This window comes from Homo sapiens, chromosome 6, assembly GCF_000001405.40.
Source record: "Homo sapiens chromosome 6, GRCh38.p14 Primary Assembly".
Taxonomy (NCBI): Eukaryota; Metazoa; Chordata; class Mammalia; order Primates; family Hominidae; genus Homo; species Homo sapiens.
The window spans coordinates 155,017,750-155,042,520 of NC_000006.12; the positions used below are offsets into that span (position 1 = coordinate 155,017,750).

The 24,771-nt window shown below is 41.6% G+C and overlaps 1 protein-coding gene across 2 annotated transcripts in view, besides 1 other annotated feature; it reads left to right on the plus strand.

The window, feature by feature from the left end:
- TIAM2 (TIAM Rac1 associated GEF 2) overlaps window positions 1–24,771 on the plus strand; it is a 262,409-nt gene that overhangs the window by 22,435 nt on the left and 215,203 nt on the right. The gene's annotated exons all lie outside the window — the stretch shown is intronic.
- Window positions 1,649–2,149: an enhancer, noted in NCBI's record as "H3K4me1 hESC enhancer chr6:155340532-155341032 (GRCh37/hg19 assembly coordinates)". NCBI's record gives its function as "activates a minimal SCP1, AML or CMV promoter by ChIP-STARR-seq in primed H9 embryonic stem cells {active_cell/tissue: H9 hESC(primed)}" and the evidence as "EXISTENCE:reporter gene assay evidence [ECO:0000049][PMID:30033119]".

A 24,771-nucleotide genomic window follows, 5' to 3' on the forward strand; every position in this document is an offset into this window, starting at 1 on the left:
GCCTCGGCCTCCCAAAGTGCTGGGATTACAGGTGTGAGCCACCACGCCTGACTCTCCCTTTTGTCTTTTTGTAGATAAAGTCCAAACTTAGCCTGACGTTTTAAGTGTTTACCCCTCTGAAAGACCCATGTCTCCAGATCTGTAGCCACCGGCCCCATGGGGCTGTGAAGCACTTTGAAATGTGGTCACCACCACTGAGGTGTGCTGTGAGTGTAACATACACAGGAGGCTTTGCAGACTTCATATGAAAAGCCAGATGTAAAATATCCCAATACGATTTTTATATTGTTTACATGTCAAAACAATGATATTTTGGATGTATTGGATTAAAATACATTATGGGCCGGGCACAGTGGCTCACGCCTGTAATCCTAGCACTTTGGAGGGCTGAGGCGGGAGGATCACTTGAGCCCATGAGTTCAAGGCTATAGTGAGCTGTGTTCCTGCCACTGCACTCCAGCCTGGGCAACAGAGTGAGACTGTCTCGAAAAAAAAAAAGGTGTATATATGTGTGTGCAGATAGATATATATATGTATGTATATATAAATTAATTTCACTTGCTTCTTATTTTTTTCAATATGGTCACTAGAAAATTAAATTACAGGCCAGGTGCAGTGGCTTACTGTAGATTACAGTGGCCAGGTGGATCACTTGAGGTCAGGAGTTTGAGACCAGCCTGGCCAACACAGTGAAACCCCGTGTCACTAATAATTCAAAAATTAGCCAGGCATGGTGGCGAGCTCCTGTAATCCCAGCTACTCAGGAGGCTGAGGCACAAGAATTGCTTGAACCAGGGGGGCGGAACTTTTAGTGAGCCAAGGTTGTGCCACTGCACTGCAGCCTGGGTGGCAAAGGGAGACTGTCTCAAGAAAAAAAAAAAATTACATACATGACTCACATTTCTCTCTCCCTTTCCCTCCCCTCCCCTCCCCTTCCCTCCCCTTCCCTCCCCTTCCCTCCCCTTCCCTCCCCTCCCCTCCCCTCCCCTTCCCTCCCCTCCCCTCCCCTCCCCTTCCCTCCCCTTCCCATCACTTTTTTTTTTGATGGGGAGGCCAAGGCAGGCAGATCACCTGAGGTCACGAGTTCGACATCAGCCTGGCCAGCATGGTGAAACCCCATCTCTACTAAAAATACAAAAAATTAGCTGGGTCTGGTGGCAGGCACCTGTAATCCCAGCTACTTGGGAGGCTGAGGCAGGAAAATCGCTTGAACCTGGGAGGCAGAGGTTACAGTGAGCTGAGATCGTGCTAGTGCACTGCAGCCTGGGTGACAGAGTGAGACTCCATCTAAAAAAAAAAAAATAGGCTGGGCACAGTGGCTCATGCCTGTAATCCCAGCACTTTGGGAGGCTGAGGCAGGCAGATCACTTGAGGTCAGGAATTCAAGACCAGCCTGGCCAATGCGGTGAAACCCCTTCTCTACTAAAAATACAAAAAAATTAGGCATGGTGGTGGATGCCTGTAATCCCAGCTACTCGAGAGGCTGAGACAGGAGAATCATTTGAACCGGGGAGGTGGAGGCTGCAGTGAGCTGAGATTGGGCCACTGCACTCCAGCCTGGGCCACAGAGCTAGACTCCATCTAAAAAAAAGAAAAGAAAAAAAATAAAAAAGGATCCAAATTAGTAGGTGATTAGTAGATATCAGTTGATCGAATAGTGAATGGGTAACTGTAAGGGGAGACTTGTGTCCAGAGGATTATTTTAAAAAGAAAAATTAAGCTATTGTAAATGATGTGTTAAACGAATGATTAAATGAAACTCTTAGTTTTGGGTAGAAGGTTGCAAATAGTGGGGGTGGGCTGCTTTGGAAATTCCAGTGGGACTGCTGTGGTTCCTTTTCTCCCCAAATACGGCTTTTTGTTGTAGAATGGAAGGAACACTGGACTGATAGTTGGTTGGCCTGACTTCTTGCTCGTGGGCCTACCGGCCAGCTGGCTAGTCTTGGAGAATTTTCTTAACCTTTCTGAGCTTTTGCTTCCTCGTTTGCAGAATTAGTGGAGCAAATTAGAAAAGGCAGCTAGGGGCCGGGCATGGTGGCTCATGCCTGTAATCCCAGCACTTTGGGAGGCCGAGGCGGGCGGATCACGAGGTCAAGAGATTGAGACCATCCTGGCCAACAAGGTAAAACCCCATCTCTACTAAACATACAAAAATTAGCCAGGCGTGGTGCTGGGCGCCTGTAGTCCCGGCTACTTGGGAGGCTGAGGCAGGAGAATCACATGAACCTGGAAGGCGGAGGTTGCAGTGAGCCGAGATTGCGCCACTGCACTCCAGCCTGGCAACAGAGTGATACTCCGTCTGCAAAAAAAAAAGGCAGCGAGGTAGGTGGTAGACATGTCCCTGGGAGTCAGGCTGGGTTCTTCAGGTTCTGCACCCGGCTATCATCACTTCCCGGCTGTGCAGCCTTGCCTAAGTCCTGAACTTCTCCCATGCTTTCCAGAGTGGGAGTGAAAAAGAGTTTCCTGTTCCTGCCAGAGGACCCTCTAAAGAAACCTGTGGAAATTAGATCCACGTCACAGAGTGATGGATAAATATCTGTTGACTTGAAGAATGAAAGGATAACCGTCAGGGGGAACTTCTGAAAGATTTTTTTCCCCAAAACTAGACACGTTGAGGTATAATTTGTATGCTATAAACATTGTCCCCCTTTTTTCACCTACTTTAAAAAATATGGTAAAATTATTGTGGTCAAATTACTGTATTAGCCTTTTGTTGTTGTTTTTGTTGTTGTGATGGAGTCTTGCTCTGTCTCCCAGGCTGGAGTGCAGTGGCGCAATCTCAGCTCACTGAAACCTCCGCCCCCTGGGTTCACATGATTCTCCTGCCTCAGTCTCTTGAGTAACTGGGATTACAGGAGTGCATCACCACACCAGGCTAATTTTTTGTATTTTTAGTAGAGACAGGGTTTCGTCATGTTGGCCAGGTTGGTCTCAAACTCCTGACCTCAAGTGATCTGCCAGCCTCGGCCTCCCAAAGTGCTGGGATTACAGGCATGAGCCACTGTGCCCGGCCATATTAGCCATTTTTAAGTATATAGTTGAGTACATTCACATTATTGTGCAGCCCTCACCACTATCCATCTCCAGAACTTGTTTCATCTTGCAGAACTGAAATTCTGTACCCCGTTAAACAATACCCCCCATTTCTTCTTCCTCCACCCTGGCAACCACCTTCCTGTCTCTATGAATTTGACTGTTCTAGGCACCTCATATAAGTGGAATCATACAGTATTTGTTCTTTTGTGACTGGCTTATTTTGCTTAGCGTGATGTCCTCAAGGTTTATCTATGTTGTAGCATGTATCAGAATGTCTTTCCCTTTTAAAGCGAAATAATATTCCCTTGTCTCTGTATGTCATCTTTTGTTTGTCTGCCCATTGGTCCACAGACATTTGGGTTTTTCTACTTTTTGGCTACTGTCAATATGGTAGCTATGAACATGGCTGTACAAATATCTCTTCAAGACCCTGCTTTCAAGTCTTTGGGGATATAAACTGAGAAGTGGAATTCTATGTCTTTTTTCTTTTTTTGAGATGGAGTTTCGCTCTTGTCCCCCAGGCTGGAGTGCAATGGTACGATCTCGGCTCACCGCAACCTCTGCCTCCCGGGTTAAATCGATTCTGCTGCCTCAGCCTCCCGAGTAGCTGGGATTGCAGACGCCTGCCACCGTGCCCGGCTAGTTTTTATATCTTTAGTAGAGACGGGGTTTCGCCATGTTGGTCAGGCTGGTCTCAAACTCCTGACCTCATGTGATCCGCCCGCTGCAGCCTCCTACAGTGCTGGGATTACAGGCACGAGCCACCGCGCCCAGCCAGAATTCTATTTTTAATTCTTTGAAAAACCACTATGTTGTTTTTCACAGCCCCTGCACCATTTTACATTCCAATCAACCGTGCACAAGGGTTCTGGTTTCTTTACCTCTGCAAAGTGCTAGGGTTTTTTGAACCATCCCCTCAGTTGCCTCATTTAAACAGATAAGGAAACTTCATTCCAGATAGGTTAAGTGACTTGACGGCCTAGCTTGTTACTGTCAAAGGTAGGACTGAAACTCAAATCTCCCTGCTTTCCCTGTTGCATGTGAGACGCAGTCTGGTCATGCATTTATTTCTTTACTCAACACACAGTGCACACATCAGTGCTGTTTGAGGTGCAGGAGTTTACAAAGATGGTTCAGATAAAGCCCCTGTCCTGACCTCCTGCCTCTTTCTGCGGCTTTCCCAAAGCTGCTTCGTGCTGTTTACCTCACAGTTTACCTCTCAGTTTAATTGCCAACTAGTAGCATCTGCAGCTTCGTACTTGGTGTTAAGTAATTTGCTTTTTACTTCCCTCCTCTGTTTTCAGTCCAAAGGAGCTTAGGAAAATGAACTCACTCGTCCTGATATAGCTCTCACAACTTGATAATTTTCTATAAAATCATTTGAGAAGAAAATATTGATAAAAATGAGATAAGAGGGGAAGGGTACAGAGACGCCGAGCTCTGTACCAACAGCTGTAGAAAGTGGAGCCATATTTAAAAGTGATTAACCACTGCAGGGCCTTCTTGTGTCCATGTGTGCCTGACTGTTTTTTCTTTTTTTCTCTCACTCTGTTGCCCAGGCTGGAGTACAATGGCATAGTCTTGGCCCACTGCAACCTCCACCTCCTGGGTTCAAGTGATTCTCCTGCCTCAGCCTCCTGAGTAGCTGGAACTACAGGTGTGCACCACCATGCCCTGCTAATTTTTTGTATTTTTAGTAGAGACAGGGTTTCACCATGTTAGCCAGCTGGTCTCGAACTCCTGACCCCAGGTGATCCACCTGCCTCAGCCTCATAAGGTACTGGGATTACAGGCGTGAGCCACTGCGCCTGGCCTGTCTGTCTGATTCTTGAAGAGCTCATCTCTGATACGGGTATTTAATGCTAAGGAGAAACTCACAAGCAACAGGGGGCCTGAGTTGTGTTCAACTGTCACCTTGTAGGGAACATTGCCTGTGGCCACCTTGCAGAAGCAATGCAATGCTTATTGTTGACAAGTCCCTTGAGTTATGAGAAGTTAAAGCTTACTGAAGTTACGATATGGTTGCTACTTAAATATAGGTTCGAGTTAGTAGGGAAGAGGGCTAACGATGGTTTCTTAGTAAAGCATTTCGAGGGCCTGCTTGTGTCATAGCGCTGGGCTTGGCAGCCATGGACGTGGATAAAGTGAATTCCTTTTTGTAACCATCTTAGGTTTCTCCTTTCCGGCTTCTGTTTTTGTAGAGAGGTTTTTTAAACTAGGGCACTGAGAGAGAAGGAGGGACTCATTTTTTGTTCTGTTTTTTTTTTTTTTTTTTCCCTTGGCAAGTGAATTTATTTCATCTTTTTTCTTGGCAAATGAATTTATTTCATTTTGAAATCTGCAATCCTTTCCTTTTTGTTCAAGATATCTGAGTTTGACTTGGATTTACTTACAGCCACTTCAGGAAATTGACTTTGAAGGAAAATCTGAGCCAGGTGGGAATCTCTGCTCTAGAAGTTGCAGGTACCTGGCACCTGGCTCCCTTTAGGCCAAGTCTCAGGATGAAGTTAAGTCTAGACGGACAAAACTCTGCCACGAGGGCGGTTGTTGATGGGTCAATGTGAGAGACCTTTGTGATTTGGGGCAAAAAGTGTTCTTATTAAACTTTGCAGTTTAATAACAGAGTTTGTCTTTGCATATTGAACCCTGGTCCTTTTCGGCTGCGTCTAAATTTGTATGTTCTGTGAATGAGAATGGGATCTAGTGCCTGACCGAACTATACCATGTCTGTGCGTTTGCTCTTGATTTTGCAGCCCTGACAGGTTGGGTAGCAGCCTGGCCTGGAACCAGCTGCAAGTAACCAAGCAATGATGAGTTATTTGCAGTTGGATAAAGGCAGATTTTACCCATTATCCTCTGGAGGTCTTCTCTTGCGGGGAAAGGTCAGCAATAATGAGATTTAGTCAGCTTTCCTTGCAGGCGGAGCCTCCAAGGAAATACTCATTGAACTTGAGTATTTTTGTGCTTTTGTTCATCGTATATAGAAGTCCTAATTGAAACCTTAAATTGTGCGCTCCGTAAACCACTTGTTGAGCCGCAGATGGTTGGTTTGTACATTACTTAATTTATCGGGTCCTTACTCGTCTTTGCCTGCAAGATGAAGGGATTGGAGAGAGTATTTCCAAGACTCTGTTTTATCATCAGCAACATCATCATCTTCTTGACATCATAGGAACCTGTTGATCAGAGGCTGTACCAGACACTTCATCAACATCCCACTTAATACTCTGCATGCGGCTCTCCAGGACAGATTCCCTCCCACTCTGCAGAGGACACAGGCTTAGAGAGGGTGGGTGAGGAATTAAGGAGCTGAGCTGGGTTTTGACCTTGTCTGACTCCAAAGCACTTGTTCTTCAGACTGCGTCTTGCTGGCCTCTACAGCTTTATGATTCTGGGAAAAGTACTTACGGCCACGTTTCTTTGGTAAGAAACAGGTAATTGAAGAACAAAAATGAATTCTATATCTGCTTTAGGAGAACTGAAAGAGGCTGGAATAACTGCCTTTCTTACTGTAAGATTTAATTATTAATGGATGAACCAGAGATTATAAGTATTAACAGAAATAAAACAACACAATTTTTAAAAATTCAGAGGATTTTCAGACAACAAATTTCCTGGAAGAAATTGTGCATTTTTTTTTTCCCTGAGAGTGTCATAAAAGCTGGGTTTAGGAATTGCCATTTGGTGGCAGATGGGGTAAGTTATCTTTGCCTTCTTTAATAGTTTTTCTTTGTAGGAGAAGAAGATCCTATTCCTAAATCGCTGTGATATTTAGGTCTTTAGGGGTGGGATCTTGTGAATTTGCTATTATTGTAGACTGAAATCTATATATAGGGACACTCAAATGTGGTATAAATCCATGTCTTTAAAAAAAAAAAAAAAGCAATTACTATGTTTGAAAGCCAAGCTATAAAAAGTAAATGAAATCATAGGAGAGCCAAGAAAGGATTTCATTTTACTGAGCAAATGTCCTTGACTTTCTTTTCCCTTTTGTGTCCTGCAGTGACAGAGTGGGGAATGCAAATGTTTCGAAATTAGGATCACAGCTTTTATTTACAGGTGGTTGAGTGTTGGCATTTGTCCCTGTCAGCACTCCTGCTCTAGATGAAGTGACAGATCCAGAAGGGAGAAATCCAGAAAACAGACACTCAGCTTGTAATTTGTTAAATGTCATTTTAGTTATTTAGCATTCCATAGAACCTGGTTTTATTTGACTTTATTTAAAGAGGAGGTTATTTTTTATTTTTATTTTATTTTTAGAGACGGAGTCTGGCTCTGTCACCCAGGCTGGCGTACGGTGGCATGATCTCGGCTCACTGCAACCTCTGCCTCCTGGGTTCAAGTGATTCTTCCGCCTCAGTCTCCTGAGTAGCTGGGATTATAGGCACCACGTCTGGCTAATTTTTGTATTTTTTTTTTTTTTTTTGAGACGGAGTCTCGCTCTGTTACCCAGGCTGGAGTGCAGTGGCATGATCTCAGCTCGCTGCAAGCTCTGCCTCCCGGGTTCACGCCATTCTCCTGCCTCAGCCTCCTGAGTAGCTGGGACTACAGGCGCCTGCCACCACGCCCGGCTAATTTTTTGTATTTTTAGTAGAGACGGGGTTTCACCGTGGTCTCAATCTCCTGACCTCGTGATCTGCCCTCCTCAGCCTCCCAAAGTACTGAGATTACAGGCATGAGCCACCGCGCCCGGCCTAATTTTTGTATTTTTTTAGTAGAGTTGGGGTTTCACCATGTTGGCCAGCCTGGTCTTGAACCCCTGACCTTAAGTGATCCGCCCACCTCAGCCTCCTAAAGTGCTGGGATTACAGGTGTGAGGCACTGCACCCGGGCAAAGAGGAGGTTATTTTTATTTAGTGTCTGCTTATATACATTGTAACATTTTTTCATCAAAGTTGAAATTAATTTCCTTGAAAATTCATGTGTCTTTGACGGCTGAGGTTTGGGTAGTACCCGCCAATTTTACCAATCACATTTAAAAAAATAGATTTTTTCATACCCATACATAAAAACACATGTGAGCACCTCCCCCTCAAACACACACACACACACACACACACACACACACACACACACACACACACACACACAGAAAAGAAAGAAGGGAAGGAAACATTTGGATGCTTCGGAAAGGTGTTGTTGAGCAGTGGGACAAAAGCCTCCTTGAGCAGTTGTGGGGTCTCAGAACATGGAACACCCGCTAGTCTACACATCTCACAAATAGAATGGGCTTCTTGAATGGTTCTTTCTTGCTCAGAGGTACTTTGCAGCCCAGCCAGAGCTCTGATAATGATAGGCTGGATTTCTATATGGAAACATAAAACAGCTCAAATCCAGGCATTCAGCTTTGTCTTCTTAAATTGCCGCATTGCTTTGGCTAGGTACTAGATAAAAAAAGAACTTCTAATGAGAGGAATATTTTAAGACCTGGGTAAGCTGTCACACCATAAAATGTTAAACAGTATTCCCCTTAGGGATCTGTTCAGAATTTCAAATGTTCAAAATCTCTGTTGATTCCTCAGCAAATACAGATGATCTTGGCGTTCTTTCTGAATGCTTCCCCCAGGTTCTTCCCAAGGTTTCCATTAAGAATCATCTTTTTGCAATGATAATTGAGTTTCTCAATTTTTTTTCCCTCCTGGTGGGGGTAGACTGTTTCAACGCTAAGCAGTTAATTTTCTTTGCAAAACTCACTGTGGTTTATCATCATGTTTCGAAGGGCATGGACAACTACAGAACACTGGGGGAGGGCTGGATATGTTTTTGTAATAAAGAGGCTGCATGCTGGAGGTAGATGCATCCCAGTGGGGACTGGCAGTCCTTGAGGGACTGACTCATCCATGACTCACATGGCAGCCTGGGTGGCCCCTTGGCCCTGGTGCCAGCCTCTGGAAGTTTGGAGCTGGTGCTCACCTCTCCCATGAGACCTTGAGAGTTAAAATATGCGGTGAGGCTTCTGGTTTGATTGGAGTGGGGCTCACCTTTGGTTAGGGACTTGGTGAGAAGCTAGAAGAAATGCACACACCTTTTGGCTTTTGTATGTAGTTACGGGAGACTGGGCTACTGCTGGTTTTACACATGGTGAGACGGTGTAACGGAGCAACTGGTTGGGAAGAGAAAAACTGTTCATTTGTTATAGTGCACATCTTTACCTACTTGAAATGCCACCTTTATGATATTCTGCATGTCCATATAATTTGTGTCTATTTCTGGACTTTGAATATTTCTGTTCATTAGCAAACTATTAAATATTTTTTACCTTTTTTTTGAGATGGAGTCTTGCTCTGTCACCCAGGCTGGAGTGCAGTGGAGTGATCTTGGCTCACTACAACCTCTGCCTCCTGGGCTCAAACGATTCTCCTGCCTCAGCCTCCTGAGTAGCTGGGACATGCCACCATGCCCAGCTAATTTTTCTGTTTTAATAGAGACGGGGTTTCACCATGTTGGCCAGGATGGTCTCTTACTCCTGACCTCAGGTGATCCACTTGCCTGGGCCTCCCAAAGTGTTGGGATTACAGGCATGAGCCATCGCACCTGTATATTATATATATAATATATATACTGTGTTACATATATACTATATATAATATATATACTGTGTTACATATATACTATATATAATATATATACTGTGTTACATATATACTATATATAATATATATACTGTGTTACATATATACTATATATAATATATATACTGTGTTACATATATACTATATATAATATATATACTGTGTTACATATACTATATATAATATATATACTGTGTTACATATATACTATATATAATATATGTACTGTGTTACATATATACTATATATAATATATGTACTGTGTTACATATATACTATATATAATATATGTACTGTGTTACATATATACTATATATAATATATGTACTGTGTTACATATATACTATATATAATATATGTACTGTGTTACATATATACTATATATAATATATGTACTGTGTTACATATATACTATATATAATATATGTACTGTGTTACATATATACTATATATAATATATGTACTGTGATACATATATACTATATATAATATATGTACTGTGTTATATACTATATAATATATGTACTGTGTTACATATATACTATATAATATGTACTGTGTTACATATATACTATATATAATATATGTACTGTGTTACATATATACTATATATAATATATGTACTGTGTTACATATATACTATATATAATATATGTACTGTGTTATATACTATATATAATATATGTACTGTGTTACATATATACTATATATAATATATGTACTGTGTTACATATATACTATATATAATATATGTACTGTGTTACATATATACTATATATAATATATGTACTGTTACATATATACTACATATAATATATGTACTGTGTTACATATATACTACATATAATATATGTACTGTGTTACATATATACTACATATAATATATGTACTGTGTTACATATATACTACATATAATATATGTACTGTGTTACATATATACTACATATATGTACTGTGTTACATATATACTACATATAATATATACTGTGTTACATATATACTACATATAATATATATACTGTGTTACATATATACTACATATATATACTGTGTTACATATACTACATATAATATATATACTGTGTTACATATACTACATATAATATATATACTGTGTTACATATACTACATATATATACTGTGTTACATATATACTACATATAATATATATACTGTGTTACATATATACTACATATAATATATATATACTGTGTTACATATATACTACATATAATATATATACTGTGTTATATATACTACATATAATATATATACTGTGTTATATATATACTACATATAATATATATACTGTGTTATATATATACTACATATAATATATATACTGTGTTATATATATACTACATATAATATATATACTGTGTTATATACTACATATAATATATATACTGTGTTATATACTACATGTAATATATATACTGTGTTATATACTATATATAATATATATACTGTGTTATATATATACTATGTTATATATACACTGTATATACTATCTATACTATGTTATATATACACTGTATATACTATCTATACTATGTTATATATACACTGTATATACTATATATACTATGTTATATATACACTGTATGTACTATATATACTATGTTATATATACACTGTATATACTATATATACTATGTTATATATACACTGTATATACTATATATACTATGTTATATATACACTGTATATACTATATATACTGTTATATATACACTGTATATACTATGTGTTATATATACACTGTATGTACTATGTGTTATATACACTATATGTACTATGTGTTATATACACTATATGTACTATGTGTTATATACACTGTATGTACTATGTGTTATATACACTATATGTACTATGTGTTATATACACTATATGTACTATGTGTTATATACACTATATGTACTATGTGTTATATATACTATATGTACTATGTGTTATATATACTATATGTACTATGTGTTATATATAATATATATACGTTATATATAATATATACTATATATACTATGTTATATATATACTATAGTATATATAATATATACTATATATACTATAGTATATATTATACTATAGTATATATTATATATAATATATACTATAGTATATATACTATAGTATATATTATATATAATATATACTATATATTATAGTATAGATAATAATATATATTATGTAGTATAAATATATACTATATAATAGTATATATAACTATATAGTATATATAGTTATATAACTCTGTATATATGTATATAACTATATATAGTTATATAACTATATATAGAGTTATATAACTATATACAGAGTTATATAACTATATATAGAGATATATAACTATATACAGAGTTATATAACTATATAGTATATAACTATATATATATATATGTAGAAAAAAACCTAAAGACTTTTTGTGTTTTTTTTGTTTTGTTTTGTTTTTCTGAGACAGGGTCTCAGTCTGTTGCCCAGGCAGAGTGCAGTGGTGTGATCGCGGCTCACTGCAACCTCCGCCTCCCAGACACAAGCCATCCTCCCGTCTCAGCCTCCCAAGTAGCTGGGACCACAGGCATGCGCCACTATGCCTGGCTAATTTTTGTATGTTTTGTAGAGATGGGGGTCTCACCATGTTGCCCAGGCTGGTCTCGAACCCTGGGGTCAAGCCATCCTCCCACCTTGGCCTCCCAGAGTGCTGGGATTACAGGTGTGAGCCACTGTGCCTTTGTTGTTCTTTGAAAGTTTCATAGTTATCACTTGTAAAGCAAATGGGCTTGAAATGATTTTTATATTACCTTATGATAACTTTCTGAAATTACGGAGTTTGGGGAGGGAGGAGAGGGAGGCAAGATAGAGCATGGGATGAGGCAGGCCAGATGCAGATGGAGAGTTGAACATCTTGGAAAGAGAACTTCACAACCAAGTTGTGATCAATCTTAGTGCCTTTTTCCTAGAAAACAAGGAAATGACGTAGGTTGTTACAATTGAACTGCCTTCTGTTGGTGAGAAGTTGATTTTAACAGTCCTGTGATAGCTGCTCACATTTTGTTACTATGATCTCCCGAAGAGATTAAGGTCGAGAAGGAGCAATAGGCAGGGATTTGACCTCGTCTGGTTGTTAGGAGGAACAAGCTGTTGATCTCTGCTTTTAACCTGCGTCCAAACCGCAAGCCTCCTGGTATTGTTCACCCCACTGCTCAAGGGGTGTCTGCTCAGAAATTCCATTCTGTGGGGAATGCTTGCCAATCCATGATTTGATTGGTTTCCTCATGTGATTGTGGAAGAATGTTAGCTACTTTCTCCGTCTTGCTCCTGTGGAATAATACTAACTGGTAAATTTTGGAGGAAAGCTGCTGTTCTATCATGATGGAAATTATATTTTGGATTCTGCTTTTCACTATAGAAATTTTTTGGTAAGTGTGGCCCTGAGCTCAACCAGGGAGGTTCCATAGCCTTCCAGACAATGAGATTAAATCTTTCATTTTAGTGATCTTCCTGTGTTTAAATCAGGATCTCAACTGTCTCTCGTTAGAAGACTTGGGGAAATAAAAGGTAAGGATTCCTCTGGCATAGTAATGGTGCCAAAAGATTTAATAATTTGAGAATGCGTTCATAGTTTTGGTGAAATAAGTTCCTGTGAGGCTGTTTGCCCTCCCTGACTGCTGTTCTCTTTGTTGTGTGTGGCTAAGAGTTTTTATGAAATTCTATGGAATTGGTATTCACAAGACACTTTGTGTCTTATTTAACCCTTTGACAGTATTCTGAAAATTCCAATGTGAACATGCATGGTCATAAATACTTCTCAGTGTTAAATTAACTCCTTAAAGGTGTAACACCTATTCACTTCTTGTCAATTTCTTTGTTTTTAAAAGACTAAATACATATGTGCCTCTCTGTATATGTTGTGCATATTTTAGAATGAGTCAATATAAATCCAGGTGAGTCTTTCTAAATGACTCAGACACTGTTGCTGATACTTCACATAACTTTTGCTATTATTTTATAATTTATCTGTAATATTTTTTAGTAGCTGTCTCAAATTGCAAAAGAGTTTTTGTTTTGAAAATGAAGAGATGAGGCTGGGAGTGGTGGCTCATGCCTCTAATCCCAGCGCTGTGGGAGGCCAAGGTGGGCAGATTACTTGAACCCAGGAGTTTGAGAGCAGCCTGGGTAACATGGCTAAACCCCATCTCTACAAAAAACACAAAAAATTAGCTGGGTGTGGTGGCACGCACCTATAGTCCCAGCTACTCGGGAGGCTGAGGTGGGAGGATCACCTGAGTCCGGGAGGAGGATGCTGCAGTGAGGTGAGATCACACCATTGCACTCCAGCCTGGGCACAGAGTGTGTGTCTCTGGCCTTTTAAGACTAAACAAATTGCAGAACTTATATTTAAATAAAAGGAACTAAATATATTAGGAGATACTTCCATATGATGGGCTTAAAGATGAAAACATAACATATTAATTTGAATTATCTTACTTGCTTTTCTTACTTTTGGGTAGAATCAAAAGTAAGGAAAATTCTTGGGAACAAAAAGCACATTGTCTATTTAATTTGAGGTATCTATGAAAGCTATTTTAATTCGTATTTTGAAGATGTATATCAACTGCGACTAGGGGCTTGAAAAGGTAAGAAATTTACAGTTCCTGTAAGTACTGCTTTGGCAGAGCAGAACCTCTCAAAGTATAGCGTGTACTTTATACGATGGAAGATCTGTGAGGGAAAAAAGGTGGGAGAGGTCATGCTACTGTGAGAAAGGAAATTATGTTCAGATTGAACAAGCTAAGCCACTTGCCAAAATGTTCTCCCCAATGTTCCTGTGTGTTTTCTCCTGGTGCATACACACGTCTTAAGCCTGTGCGAACCTGCCTGCTTGTCTGTGCACAGGAATTAAAGTTTGGAAAGCTTCCATTGTGATCCTTTCCCCACTTGCCACTCACAGTGTGGTTCATGGAACGCAACGCTCGGTGGACCTACATTTGGAGCATGAAGATGCTGATAGCAATCTATGTCATGCGTGGCATTAATCACTAAATCCCTGTCCACACAAGCATCACATCAAACGGGGAATTGAGGCATCTGTCAAAAGAATGCAGTAGGAATCGTCTGAGAATGAGCAGGGTTTGTGTTCTTCATCTCTGCTGCACTCCAACCCTCTTTAGGCTGCAGGGATTTTTGTTTTTTTCTTTTTTGAGACAGAGTATCGCTCTGTTGCCCAGGCTGGAGTGCAGTGGCGTGATCTCGGCTCACTGCAACCTCTACCTCCCGGGTTCAAGCAATTCTCCTGCTTCACTCTCCCAAGTAGCTGAGATTACGGGCACCTGCCACCACGCCCAGCTAATTTTTTGTATTTTTAGTAGAGACGGGTTTCGCCATGTTGGCCAGGCTGGTCTTGAACTCCTGACCTCAGGTGATCCGCCCACCTCGGCCTCCCAAAGTGCTGGGATTACAGGCCTGGGCCACGACGCCTGGCCTGTTTTTTTCTTCTTTTGAACATTTGTGTTGTATATAGAGCAAAGGAATACTCCAAAGGAATTTGGGGTATATAAAAGAATCATTTCCCCCTGAAATTTTCTGCCTTTAGTTGAAAACAGCTATGTGTTAATTCTACGACCACAGCTCATTGAAGTTTCCTTTCTGTTGTCCATGTTGGTGCTCTTGCCTATGTGCCTGTTAGACTGTATGTTAAACACATGTGGTCAAACTGGTCTAGATTTTCCTTGTTCCCGGGTCTTCTCGTTGCCTTCCTGAACATTTGGAGAAGGTTAGTACACCTGGATGTCATTTTGAGTACATATGTATTCACTGCAGCCATGACGGCCCCAGGCCCTCTGCAGCCCTGCCTGCGCGCTACTTAAATGCGGCCCAAAGATACTACTTTGGTGATGTAACCACTGGGCTACTTCCGTGATCTCTCAGGAGCATGGTTACGTTTTAGGTTACATTAATTCCTTAAGGGAGCTGGCTTGTCTCCCCAAAACAACTGTTAGAAAAATAAGACATAGTCCTGTTTTGCTTTTGAGCAACTTTATCTGTGGTCTCCAATATTTGTTTTATTTTATGAAATTCCCTAATCTTGTAGTTGATATAGCACTTTGGCTCTGAAATTTAGAGTAGAAGCACAGCAGGTTTCGCAGGTTTAAAGATAAAACTCAAGAATAGAAAGGTTTAGTTTCTTAGTTAAGAAAGGAAGCCGTGCCAAGTATGAGTTATGCTCAGAAAAAAAAAAGTTTGCCCCAGAAATATTTCACACGCAGTGTCTTCTTCAGAGCCGCCCTGCCTGTTTCCTAGAAGTAACTTCTGCCATTGGCTCCTGGGCCAGCTCCTTTCTCTTGGCTTTCTTTTCTTTCTTTCTTTTTTTGTTTTTTGAGACAGAGTCTTGCTCTGTCACCCAGGCTTGAGTGCAGTGGTGCCATCTCGGCTCACTGCAACCTCCCCCTCCCGGGTTCAAGCAATTCTCCTGCCTTAGCCTTCTGAGTAGCCAGGCTTACAGGTGCGTGCCACCACACCCGGCTAATTTTTGCATTTTTAGTAGAGACGGGGTTTCACTGTGTTAGCCAGGCTGGTCTCGAACTCCTGACCTCAGGTTATCTGCCCACCTCAGCCTCCCAAAGTGTTGGGATTACAGGCGTGAGCCACCGCACCCGGCCTCTCTTGGCTTTCTTCTCTGTTGCTTACCTTTTTTTTTTTTTCCTGCCTCCCTTTGGAGTCTCCTTCCTTATCCCACTGTCAAACAGTGAGGTTCTCCCTAGGGTGCCAACCTGGGTTCTCTTCAGTGGATAATTTTTGCTTTGCCCCTGCCTTCATCTACCAGAATACATGCCAGTTTCTGCCCAGTCAATATAACTCTAGTTGAGACCTCTCTTCTGGGGTCCATTGGTTTTTTTGTTTTTGTTTTGTTTGAGATAGAGTCTTGCTCCATTGCCCAGGCTGGAGTGCAATGGCACGGTCTTGGCTCACTGCAACCTCTGCCTACCAGGTTCAAGCAATTCTCCTGCCTCAGCCTCCCAAGTAGCTGGGATTGATTATAGCCACCCACCACCATGCCCGGCTAATTTTTGTATTTTGAGTAGGGATGGAGTTTCACCATGTTGGCCAGGCTGGTCTTGAAGTTCTGACCTTAGGTGATCTGCCCACCTTGGCCTCCCAAAGTGCTGGGATTACAGGCGTGAGCCAAAGCGCCTGGCTAGGTCCAGTATTTTAACCTTCAACTGGATGTCTTCATCTAGATGTTTGCTGCCTTCCTGCAACTGAGTGCTTCAGAAGTGAATGAAGTCTTTTCACCTCAGAGTTGCATCTCTCTGTGGAGCTCCTGCCTCAGAGCATGTGCTTTGGAGTCTGAGAGCCCATGTTTGATTCCTGGCTAGGCTAGTTAACCTCTTTTTCCTGCCTTATCACATTGGCTGGGACCTCCAACACAATATATATTGGCTTATTCCTGGTCTTAATAGAATGCATTCAATTTTCACCATTAAGTACGATGCTAGCCGCAGATGTTTTCAAAGATCCTGTTTATTGTGAAGTTTTTAAAAATAGAGTTGAAAAATATTTTTCATTAGCTGATTATGAATTAATATTTTTTAATGTTTACAGGATCCCTATTAAAAAACAGAAACCAAAACCCACCATAATAAATCTAAGGAAATTTAAAATTGTATTTCAGTAAAACCTATATGGGTCCACGAAGCTTTCACAGTTAAGGAGGAAAAGGTAGAAATATGGTTTGGAGGGAATGACTTGATTATTATAGTTCGTTTGATCCACGTATGCACTGATTCTTTATTTGCTGAATGGATGTGCAAGTGATGTAAGTTTTGTTTTGCTGTTTTTTTTATTCTTCGCCTTACATGTATCGTCCTATTTTTTTTTTTTTTGAAACGGAGTCTTGCTTTGTCACCCAGGCTGGAGTGCGGTGGCGTGATCTTGGCTCACTGCATTTCCACCTCCCGGGTTCAAGCGATCCTCCTGCCTCAGCTTCCCGAGTAGCTGGGACTACAGGTGTGTGCCACCATACCGGCTAATTTTTGTATTTTTAGTAGAAATGGGGTTTTGCTATGTTGATCAGGCTGGTCTCAAATTCTTGACCTCAGACGATCCACCCGTTTTAGCCTCCCAAAGTTTGGGATTAACAGGCGTGAGACTACCCAGCCTTTTCCTGTTAGTTCACGAGACTCAGACTAATGTTGGAGTTTTGCAAACACCATCTTATTCCTGTGTGTATGTGTACTGATCATCATCATTGAAACTGTAAGGTCTAAGCAATTTGAAATGTAACTTAGCCTCTTTTTTTCCATGATTAGGAAAATTAAACCTAATTGAGATCCAGTAGAGGCTTCTGGAAAAGGCTGTAAGTTCTTGTACTTTTCAGACTTGTATGTTAATGAAAACATTTGATTCTCATTAATACAAACGATTACTCGGTAGATGGTAATTAATTCTGGGACAGGGTCATGCACACAGCCCTTGCTGGGTTGATGTAAATGGCCCTTGGAAGGCTGCGATGATACAAAGACTGTAACTTGTATCTCTTTATTTTTTGAAACATGAATGTCTCTATACGTATAATTTTTAATTTTCCCTGGACTTGGAGCTTGTGTTTAATGCTTCATTAACAATTGTTGATCCCTTTTTGGGTAAATCTTTCTGGACAGATTAAGCAAAGAAAGAAAAACCCTGTGTACAGAGTATGTATCATTTAGGCTTTTGAGGTGGAAAGTTAAGGGAGATATTAATTAGACTCTAAAAGATACCCCAAACAGAGTGGCCATCCAGCAATTGTGTGTTAAAAGAATGTCGCATGAATAAAGGAAGGGAGGAGGGTAGTAATGTCCTGTGCTGAAATGCGTCATTTGTTCCTGGTTTCTTTCTTTAAAAAGTGTGTTGAGGCCAGGTGTGGTGGCTCATGCCTGTAATTCCAGCACTTTGGGAGGCCAAGGCGGGAAGATCACTTGAGGTCAGGAATTTGAGACCAGCCTGGGCAATATGGTAAACCCTGTCTCTACCAAAAATACAAAAAAATTAGCCAGGCGTAGAGGCACACGCCTGTAGTCCCAGCTACTTGGGAGGCTGAGGCAGGAGAATCACTTGAACCCGGGAGGTGGAGGTTTCAGTGAGCCAAGATTGTACCACTGCACTCCAGTCTCAAAAAAGAAAAAAAAAAAAAAAAAGAGTGTGTTGACCTCAAAGGTCCTTGTTGGCTCTAAAGTTTGGAGAAATTATTTATTTATTTATTTATTTATTTATTTATTTATTTATTTATTATTTTTTTGAGATGGAGTTTTACTCTTGTTGCCCAGGCTGGAGTGCAATGGCATGATCTCGGCTCACTGCAACCTCCGCCTCCCAGGTTCAAGCGATTCTCCTGCTTCAGCCTCCTGAGCAGCTGGGATTACAGGCATACACCACCACGCCCAGCTAATTTTTTTATTTTTAGTAGAGATGGGGTTTCTCCATGTTGGTTAGGCTGGTCTCGAACTCCTGACCTCAGGTGATCCGCCTGCCTTGGCCTCCCAAAGTGCTGGGATTACAGGCATGAGCCACCGCGCCTGGCCTGGAGAAATTCTTAAAGTTCAGACATTTAAAATTATTGTTAGAGTCAGGGCCCAGGGAATTTCGCCTTTGTCCTTAGGCACGGCTCTCTATAACTTTTTCAGTTTCCCTTCACCTAATTGTTACTTCATGGTTTCCTGTCCTGTAGTTCAAGAACATTCTTCTAAGCTGCCTTGGCAACTTGTAGTGTCCCAGGAGGAACATCTTTGGCGTTAGCTCTGATTCCGTTCTTTTCTTCTTGAACTATTGCTTGTAAATGTTCAATGTAGGTAAATTTTCTGAGCTTCAATTTTCTCATCTGTAAAATGGGGGCAGTAAAATACTGACCTCGAATAGAGTTGTGAGGCTTCAATGACATAAAGAAGTTGGCAGCATAACTAGCGTATAGAAGGTCCTAAGTAAACTCTGAAGGTGACCATCTTTCCTTTCCCTTGAGTTCAATAGCTCTGCAGTTTTCTGTTTTGAATGATTAAGGCTTTAAAGTTTTTCTGTATTTCTGTTCTGAAAAAAAAATCCCCACTTCCTCTCATCACCTGGAACTAAATGCACTTTTCCCTTAAAGTTGCAGGTCAGCATGAATAGTTTTCAGTGTGCTCCTCTGGGCTGGTTTCTTTTCTTTTTTTATTTTTTTGAGACAGAGCCTCACTCTGTCACCCAGGCTGGAGTGCAGTGGCGCAATCTCTGCTCACTGCAACCTCTGCCTCCCAGGTTCAGGCAGTTCTCCTGCCTCAGCCTCCTGAGTAGCTGGGATTAACAGGCACGCACCACCACGCCTGCCTAATTTTTGTATTTTTAGTAGGGATGGGGTTTTGACATGTAGGCCAGTCTGGTCTTGAACTCCTGACCTCAAGTGATCTGCCCGCCTCCACCTCCCAAAGTGCTGGGATTGCAGGTGTGAGCCACCGCGTCCAGCCCTCAGAGCTTGTTTCTGAGTCCTTACTTCTTCTGTGTCCACTGCTGTTCTGCATTTTTATCTGAAGTTGCTGTTGGCTGGGCCTTTGCTCTTCATTCTGTGTTTGGAGTACCTGGTCGACCCTAAGGAATTCTTTTGTTTCTCTGTTTTCACTTTTAGGATCAAAAGAGGCAGTTTCTTTTCTCCAGTTGTAGGAGAAAACAGAGTTTAAGATTTTCCTTCTTGCTGAGTTGTTAAATAAGGAGCATTAAAACAAACCTTCTATTGAAGGGCACAAATCATGGTGTGGAACTTGATGAATTTTCCCAAAGTGAACACACCATGTAATGAGGATGGTAATAAGTTTAAGAAAAGTCTCTGATGGCCTGAGCTTTCCTAAGCCTTCTCGCCCGTTATCCTTCAGATGACCCACCTAGTGCCTTCTGACCACCATCTGCCGGCTAGTTCTGTAGGGTCTGGTTGGCCTGCCCTGCCCTCCTGCTCCTTCCCCCAGATGGGATGCCTGGGGTTAGAGAGACTGGCTCTTTGTTCCCAGTCCTGCCTGCATTTCAGTAGATGGTAAGAAGAGAGACACAGGATGCTGTATTTCCACTCTCCCTTAAATGGTCTTCTCTTGGGGCTAGTTGGAGGTGGGATACATGATGCAGAGAAGGTGCTGCGCCAAGCACTGTGTGCGTGCTCCCTTTGCTTTCGGTCTCTGTTCAACAAAGTATTGAAACTACTAAGACAATGCTGATATCAGAAGCTGGTACGAAAAAGCACTGTGTTTTTGATTAAGATGAAAATACTAGACTTTGACTTTTAAAAATGAAGAGTAGGCCTGGCTGGGTGCAGTGGCTCATGCCTGTAATTGCAGTATTTTGGGAGGCCAAGGCAGGAGAATTGCTTGAGGCCAGAAATTCGAGACCAGCCTGGGCAACATAGTGAGATCCCATCTCTACCAAAATAAAAATATTAGCCAGGTATTGTGGTGCACACCTGTAGTCCCAGCAACTCAGGAGTCTGAGTTGAGAGGATCCCTTGAGCCCAGGAGTTTGAGGCTGCAGTGAGCTGTGACTGTGCCACCACACTCTACACCACTGCACTCCAGCCTGGGTGACGGAGCGAGAGCCTGTGAGCATGTCCTTTTTTTTTTTTTTTTTTTTTTTTGGCGATAGGGTCTTACTCTGTCACCCAGGCTAGAGTGTAGTGGCGTGATTTTGGCTCAATGCAGCCTCAACCTACCAGACTCAGGTGATCCTCCTACCTCAGTCTCCTGAGTAGCTGGGACTACAGGTGTGTGCCACCGCACCTGGCTAACTTTCATTTTTTTGTGTGGAGACGGGGTTTGCCATGTTGTCAAGGCTGGTCTTGAACTCCTGGGTTCAAGCGATCCTCCTACCTTGGCCTCTCAAAATGCTGGGATTACAGATGTGAGCCACTATGCCTGAACCTGTCTCTTAAAAAGAAAAAAAAATATGTTTTGGTCCCATGAGAAAGTTTTGATGACCAGAATTGTGCTTTCATCCCCCTTTAGCAGTAATCAAGCCCACTCCACCCCTTTCTCTGTCTTCCCCTGAGTCTGAGATGTAAGAAATTTCTTGAGATCTTGCATGGGTCTTGTCTGGAAGACAAAATGCTGATGGCCATGGTGGGGAGGAGGTGGCCTCCTGAGGAGTACGAGAAGGTTCTTTGTCTGCACTGAAATTTCCCAGAAGTTTGGATAGCTAGGTAAAAGTTGCCAGAAGTGGGGTATAGGTCTGGGGGGATTAGGTTTTGTTGGACCTCATGCTCTTACAATTTGAATGGGAATGGGCGTTGGGGGCTGGGGGGTGGTTGGTGGGGGGGCTCTTAAAAAAATACAAAAAGATCTTTCTTCTGACTGCATTGTTGGGGCCCTTCCCAGAACCATAGGAGGGGCCCTGAAGCTTAAGCTTCATGAGTTTAATGTAACTTGTCTCTTCCTAAATAAGAGGCAGAATAAAGCAGGGTGTGCCTGTGGCAGACTACTTACTGCCTCTAAGCTTTATGCTCAGAAGCAAAAAGAGTTGGAAAAGTGTGTTAAATTCAGAAGACTTGACAAGTAGCTAGGAAGCGCCTAGGCACGGAAAATGGTTTATGCAGTTGAAACTCAACTATAGTTCCTGTTTAATGTAACCATTTTTTCCAAACTTCAATTTGGCAATAATTTGTACTGTAATTTGTTATTACAAAGTGACCCTTGACCAAAACCAATTAACTTTGAATTTCTTGCCTAGACTGTTACATTATGAAGTTTTAGAGGCATTTTCTGAGAAATTATATGAAATTTCCATGTTAATTAGGACCTTGAGGTATCCTTGTGTCAAAGAAGATGCATAATCTTCTCTTCTTTGGCAATTACTTTCTCATCTTTCCCCCTCTCTGATTAGTCTTCATAGCTGTTTCCCTATTCAGATAAATACTTCATCAATCAGGGTTTAGAATAATCTCATTACTTTTGGGAATTCTTCCATGTGGCTCAGGGCTGTAATGGAGCTGTTAGGGGAGCCATTATCATTGAAAGCACCACTTAGTGACCAGATGGCCCCATTGGAAGCAACTTGCCGAATGTCAGGGAAGAAGACATTTAATGAAGCCTAACAGCCTAACACAAGCTGAGTAGGCAAGAGTGGAATCCTGGTTTTGGTAATGGTGGTGCTTTATCTTCAGCAAGAGCACAATTCTTTTTTTTTGTTGTTGTTGTTGTTGAGACGGAGTCTTGCTCTCTCTCCTAGGCTGGAGTGCAGTGGCACCATCTCGGCTCACTGCAACCTCTGCCTCCCAGGTTCATGTGATTCTCGTGCCTCAGCCTCCCGGGTAGCTGGGACTACAGGTATGCGCTACCACACCCGGCTAATTTTTGTATTTTCAGTAGAGATGGGGTTTCACCGTGTTGGCCAGGCTGGTCTCAAACTCCTGCCCTCTGGTGATCCACCCGCCTTGGCCTCCCAAAGTGCTGGGATTACAGGTGTGAGCCACCCTGCCTGGCTAAGAGCACAGTTCTTTGTTTTGGTAGGAAAAAACAGAGCTTTTGGAAGTAAAATAACAGGTCTTCATATCATGAAAATGATGGCAAAAGTCAAAGAATGAGTGTCATTCTTTGTCATAAGAGAATTTATTATAATGAGGGAGCTGGGTACTTGTAATGCCTGATGGAGGAGGGCAGCCACCATTCAGGGTTTTCAGCTCAGGCAAGTTCCCTATTTTTTTTTGGATGTAGATTTCAGTGTCCACACTGCCCATTGTTCTAAGTGCCAGGGGCTCTTGGATATGCTTGCCAAACTCATTGGCTTCTTGGACAAAGCCAGAATTTGGATCCTAAATTAAAGGTGAAAAACAAGTCTCTAAACTCATTAAGCTCCATTACCATTCAAGTAGGGCTTTTGTACAGTTTCTGACCACTTGAGTTATAGAAAATGATTGAAAGATTTTTGTTTTTTCCCCCCAGGGGCTGGGGGAGAACTTCATAAAACTTGTTCATGTCTGTGGTGAATTGAAAGTTGCTCTACTTATTTTAGTCCTTGGAGAAATGAGATTTAATGGGGGTTCAAACTGTGTTTTTCTAAGTGTGACAGTCATTTCCATGGGTTTGAGTTTTGCCAAATTATTTTTGGCTGGCTTCATACTCACTCCAAAGAAAAAGAGTGTGGTGGAAAAAGCAATATTGAGAGCGAGTAAAACAAGGAAGAATTCTGTATTGTTCTGAATTTCTGAGTGTGATCAGCAAAAGAAAAAGGAATTAAAAAAAGAAGAAAGTCTTACAAAAATTAGTTGTCACGTTCATGTCACAGCTTTGATTTGATCACAGTTGTTTATAGACAGATGCCTAAAATTCATGAACTTTATTACCTGTGAATACTTGGTAAACACTCTTTAGCCCTAAGTTCTTAAAACACTTTAGTTAATATATGAAAAATAAGATTTGTTTTACAGTGAGCTCCGTAGGTTTTCTCTCTTCATCTGAGGTGTTCGCGTTGCCAGTGCGATGTAGACCCAATTAGGTCAGTTTGGAAATTTTTATTTTTAGCATGAGAGGAAAATAAGTGGTCTGCTGGCACCTACTTGCTTTCAGATAAATTTACAAATAGCCTTAGTTGAAACAGTTTTGTATTGGAATCTGTTCCCTCACTCTGGCAGGCTGGCTCAAAGCCAGCGTTGCAGTTTTACTCGACTTCCCATCCTCCAACCAGACTTTTTTTCTTTTTTTTTAATCTTTGAGTGTTTGTTCTTTATGGGAGAGGAAAGCCTTTTCCTGTGGCCTCCTGGCTGGTGTGCTCTGGTCCTGTTGTAGGGGTTGTGGACTGTTGCACCCGGTCCCTTTCAGGCGGCTGCCTCAGGTGTCATAATCCTCATTCCGCTACACCACCGCAGACCCGCCCCCGCCCCCAGGAACAACACAGGTTGTTCTTGGAGCCAAGACTAGAAACCTGTCTTCCAGGGCTTGGTAAGTTTGGCCTATGCAACTTCCAAAGCCCATCCCTTAATTTAAATTGCAAGCAGGGGCTGGGCACGGTGGCTCTTGCCTGTAAGGCTGAGGCGGGCGGATCACCTGAGGTCTGGAGTTTGAGACCAGCCTGGGCAACATGGCGAAACCCCATCTCTACTAAAAATACAAAAATTAGCCAGGCATGGTGGGACCTGTAGTCCCAGCTTACTCGGGAGGCTGAGGCCAGAGAATCAATCACTTGAACC